Raw genomic sequence first — 5,056 nt, 5'->3', positions numbered from 1 at the left:
GGCGCTGGCCTGGTCTCTGCGGATCGGAGGCAAAGCCAGCCTGGCTCTCGGGTCGCCCGTCTTCTGTCGAGCTGGCAACATCAGTGCGGTTCCCACCGCCATTCGCGCTTTCTACTGGACCCTCTGCTTTTTATTGTTGATTTGTGGGAGCTCTTTGCATAGGGGCCCCGCCATCGCAGCCTGGCATCCTCGCAGGCGCTTGCCCTCGGAACGCCGGGTGGGCTGCGGGCGCGGCGGGACTCCTGGTTTCTCTTCCCCAGGACGGACACCGGCGTCGCCGCGTCCTACGAAGCCAGGCGCCGAGCGGGAGGCGCATCTGGGCCCCACCGGGGCTGCCCGCACCGAGCACGCGAACGCGCCATCCCGCCCGGAGGCCACGGGCGCTGCGGTGGGAGAACCGTAAAGCTACTCGGCTGGGCATGGCGCGGCGGGGCGGGGAACGGGGCGGGGCCTGGGCGACGGAAGTGTGCAGCCGCGCGGCATTCTGGGGCCGGAAGTGGGCCGCAAGCTGCAGGCTGGTATCATGGCAGGAGCGCGGCGCCGCAGGAGGCGCCTGGCGGAGCTGACGGTGGACGAGTTCCTAGCTTCGGGCTTTGACTCTAAGTCCGAATACTCTCCAGAAGCGGAGACGCGGGAGGCACGCGAGGCTGCCCGGAGTCCGGATGAGCCGGGCGGGAGCTCCTTGGCCAGCCGGCGTAAAGGCTGTGCCTCTGAGCACAAAGATCAGCTCTCTCGGCTGAAGGACAGAGACCCCGAGTTCTACAAGTTCCTGCAGGAGAATGACCAGAGCCAGCTAAACTTCAGTGACTCAGCTCTGAGGAGGAAGAGGAGCCGTTCAACTCCCTGCCAGATGTGCTGGAGGAAGCCAGTGAGGATGAGGATGGAGCGGAGGAGGGGGAAGATGGGGACAGAGTCCCCAGAGGGCTGAAGGGGAAGAATTGTGTTCCTGTGACCCTCGCCATGGTTGAGAGATGGAAGCAGGCAGCAAAGCAACACCTCACTCCAAAGCTGTTCCATGAAGTGGTACAGGCATTCGGAGCAGCTGTGGCCACCACCCAAGGGGACCAGGAAAGTGCTGAGGCCAACAAATTCCAGGTCAGGGACAGTGCTGTGTTCAATGCTCTGGTCACCTTCTGCATCAGAGACCTTATTGGCTGTCTCCAGAAGCTGCTGTTTGGAAAGGCGGCAAAGGACAGCAGCAGGATGCTGCAGCCGTCCAGCAGCCGGCTCTGGGGGAAGCTCCATGTGGACATCAAGGCGTACCTGGGCTCGGTCATACAGCTAGTGTCCTGTGTGGCAGAGACGATGGTGTTGGCGGCCGTGCTGTGGCACATCAGCGTGCTAGTGCCCTGCTTCCTGACCTTCCCCAAGCAGTGCCGTATGCTGCTTAAGAGAATGGTGGTCGTATGGAGCACAGGGGAGGAGTCCCTGCGGGTGCTGGCTTTCCTGGTCCTCAGCAGAGTCTGCCGGCACAAGAAGGACACTTTCCTTGGCCCCGTCCTCAAGCAAATGTACATCATGTATGTGAGGAACTGCAAGTTCACCTCGCCTGGTGCCCTCCCCTTCATCAGTTTCATGCAGCGGACCCTGAGGGAGCTGCTGGCCTTGGAGCCGGGTGTGGCCTACCAGCACGCCTTCCTCTACATCCGCCAGCTCGCCATACACCTGCACAATGCCATGACCACCCGCAAGAAGGAAACGTCTGTGTACAACTGGCAGTACGTGCACTGCCTCTTCCTGTGGTGCCGGGTCCTGAGCACTGTGGGCCCCAGCGAAGCCCTCCAACCCTTGTTCTACTCCCTTGCCCATGTCATCATTGGCTGTATCAAGCTTATCCCCACTGCCCGCTTCTACCCACTGCGAATGCACTGCATCCGTGCCCTGACGCTGCTCTCGGGGAGCTCGGGGGCCTTCATCCCAGTGCTGCCTTTCATCCTGGAGATGTTCCAGCAGGTCGACTTCAGCAGGAAGCCGGGGCGCATGAGCTCCAAGCCCATCAACTTCTCCGTGATCCTGAAGCTGTCCAGTGTCAACCTGCAGGAGAAGGCGTACCAGGACGGCCTGGTGGAGCAGCTGTACGACCTCACCCTGGAGTACCTGCACAGCCAGGCACACTGCATCGGCTTCCCGGAGCTGGCGCTGCCTGTGGTCCTGCGGCTGAAGTCGTTCCTCCGGGAGTGCAAGGTGGCCAACTACTGCCGGCAGGTGCAGCAGCTGCTTGGGAAGGTTCAGGAGAACTCGGAACACATCTGCAGCCGCCGCCAGAGGGTTTCCTTCGGCGTCTCTGACCAGCAGGCAGTGGAAGCCTGGCAGAAGCTGACCCTGGAAGAGGGGACCCCCCTGACCTTGTACTACAGCCACTGGTGCAAGCTGCGTGACTGGGAGATCCAGCTGGAGATCAGTGGCAAAGAGCGGCTGGAAGACCTGAACTTTCCTGAGATCAAACGAAGGAAGGTGGCTGACAGGAAGGATGAGGACAGGAAGCAATTTAAAGACCTCTTTGACCTGAACAGCTGTGAAGAGGACGACACCGAGGGATTCTTGGAAAGAGGGATACTGGGGCCCCTGAGCACTCGGCGTGGGGTGGAAGAGGATAAAGAGGACGAGGAGGAGGGCGAGGAGGACAGCAGCAACTCGGAGGATGGAGACCCAGACGCAGAGGCGGGGCTGGCCCCTGGGGAGCTGCAGCGGCTGGCCCAGGGGCCAGAGGATGAGCTGGAGGATCTACAGCTCTCAGAGGAGGACTGAGGCAGCCTATCTGGGGGGCCTGTAGGGGCTGCCGGGCTGGTGGCCAGTGTTTCCACCTCTCAGGCCTAGAGGCTGGCGTCTATGCAGTTGGGGGAGGCAATAGACAGGGGACAGGCTTTAATATTTATTTTTCAGCATGAACGGCCAAACCTACTGAGAGCTAGGCTGGGCTGGCATGGCTGTTGAAGTCAGCTCCACGGGGGAGCTGACCTTGACGTTAGCAGACGGAGACCAGTCCCAGTTCCAGGGGGAGGCCTGCAGGTCCCTGGCCCCTTCCACCACCTCTGCCCTCCGTCTGCAGACCTTGTCCATCCACACCAGGCTCTGCATTCCCTCCCCCAAGTCTTTGGAAATTTGTTCCTTTCCTTTGAAGTCACATTTTCCTTTAAATTTTTTTGTTTTGCATCTAAAACTGAAAGAAAGAAAGCTGTGGGAGGCAGGGCCATTGTAAAAAAAAAAAAAAAAGTTGTTCACATTCAACATTTTTTCTTTTCTTCTCTCTTCAACCCACTCCAACATGGGCAACAAGCACACCCAAGTTGCTAAATCCAATGGTTGATGTTCAGTCCTGAGGTAATTTGACCTTGCAGCATCTTTTTGAGTCTGTGGGTCATGCTGTCCATGTCACACAATTTACTCCCTTGGCTTTTATGACACCTCCTCACACTTGCTTGGTTTTCGGTCTACTTCATTGGCTCTTTCTTTAGCTGGATCTTTATGTTCCCAACTAGAACCCGTTGCATAATTTGCAGGGTGCAGTGCAGAATGAAAATGCAGGGCTCTTATTCAAAAATTATTAAAAGTTTCAAGATAGTGAGAGCAGAGCACTCAACAAAGCATGGGGCCCTTCTGAGCAAGAGGTCTTGCGTGATTACAAAGATCTTGTGCCCATGAAGCCCTGTTCCCATCCTCAGAATGCAGCAAAGCACCTGCTCAGTGCTCATCTATAAATGATCTCGTCCAACCCAATTGGCTTTAGATGCCACATTCAGCAACAAGCTTCACATCTTACCTTCAACACCAATCTCTCCATTTTACTTCAGATTCAAATATTCAACTCTCTATTCTCCATGTGCACTGAATATATGAAATGCACTCAAACTTAATATGTCCAAAATGGGACTTTCATTTCCCACCCAAATTCTTCCCATAGTTGTCCCCATGTCAATAAATACCAACTCCATTTTTCCAGTTATTCAGGCCAAAATCATTATAGCCATCCTGAACTTCGCACTTTTCTCTCACATTCTACATTCAATCCACCAAGTCCTGCAAGCTCTACCTTCAAAATATTTCCTAAATCCGACCAGTCACGACCTTCACTACTTGCAACCCCGGTACAAGTTTCTGTCCTGAGTCACCTAGTCTTCTAGTGTCATAGGCCTCTTGGCTTTCACTTCTGCCCTTGACAGTCTATTTGCCACACAGTCATCAGTTATCTTTTTAAAATGTAAGTCATAGTTTGTCACTTTCAAATCGCAAAGTTGAAACCTTTGAATGCCTTCCAACCTCACTCATAATTTTTTGTTAAAGTCTTCAAAATATGGCCTAAAAAACTCTATGTAGCCAGCTTCTGGCTACCTCTCCACCCTCAGCTCCTATCACTACCCCCTCAGTCACTTCATCAGCCACATTGGCTTTCTTGCTGCTCCTCACTTTCCTTTGCACTGTGGTTTTCTCTGTCTGGAACACTTCACTCAGATATTTGAATGACTCGCTTTCTCAATTCAATCAGAAATTTGCATGGCACCTCCTCAGAAAGCCTTCTATACTGAACATAAATCTCAGCTTCCCTTGACTGTTTCCTTTGTTTAAAAGGTGGCACCCCTCTCCTGAACGTGGACCATGCCACACCACTGCCATCTTTGTTGAGTCCCCAGAACTGTCAGTAATCTGCAAAAATCCCATTAGTTCCAAGTCTCCACTCACTTCTGATGAAATGTCCCATAACAGAGAATGGGATCTGCCCTCCTGGCCCACCGTCTAAAAGCCCAACAATGTTTTCCTAAAGAACAGGGCATTCGCTCTTCATGAGCAATAGAAAACAGGAGCCACAAAGAGCCAAGCAGCAAAGAGCAGAGAATAGATCTAGATAGATGATGAAGAATAACCAGTATACACTCTCTGTCCTCTTAATCTGTTTTGTTGCAGACTGATGTTTTACTCTATGTCTATGCATATGCACATATGCATGTACGTATACATGCGTGCAACTTGATGGCAAAGATCCCATCTTGTATGTTCCTTGTCATATCACCAGCTCCTACGGCAGTAACTGTCACATAGTAAATATTCAGCAAATATTCTT

General features: G+C 53.7%; 1 pseudogene across 1 annotated transcript; it reads left to right on the top strand.

The window, feature by feature from the left end:
• Positions 1 to 494: 494 nt before the first annotated feature.
• NOC2LP2 (NOC2 like nucleolar associated transcriptional repressor pseudogene 2) lies at positions 495 to 3,228 on the top strand (annotated as a pseudogene). Its single transcript, NR_002826.2, has one exon. The product of NR_002826.2 is annotated as an NOC2 like nucleolar associated transcriptional repressor pseudogene 2 (transcript).
• Positions 3,229 to 5,056: the final 1,828 nt, after the last annotated feature.

Source organism: Homo sapiens, chromosome 2 (assembly GCF_000001405.40).
Source record: "Homo sapiens chromosome 2, GRCh38.p14 Primary Assembly".
Classification (NCBI taxonomy): Eukaryota; Metazoa; Chordata; class Mammalia; order Primates; family Hominidae; genus Homo; species Homo sapiens.
Note: the sequence above shows the minus strand (reverse complement) of the source record. Positions and strands in the feature narration are given on the sequence as shown.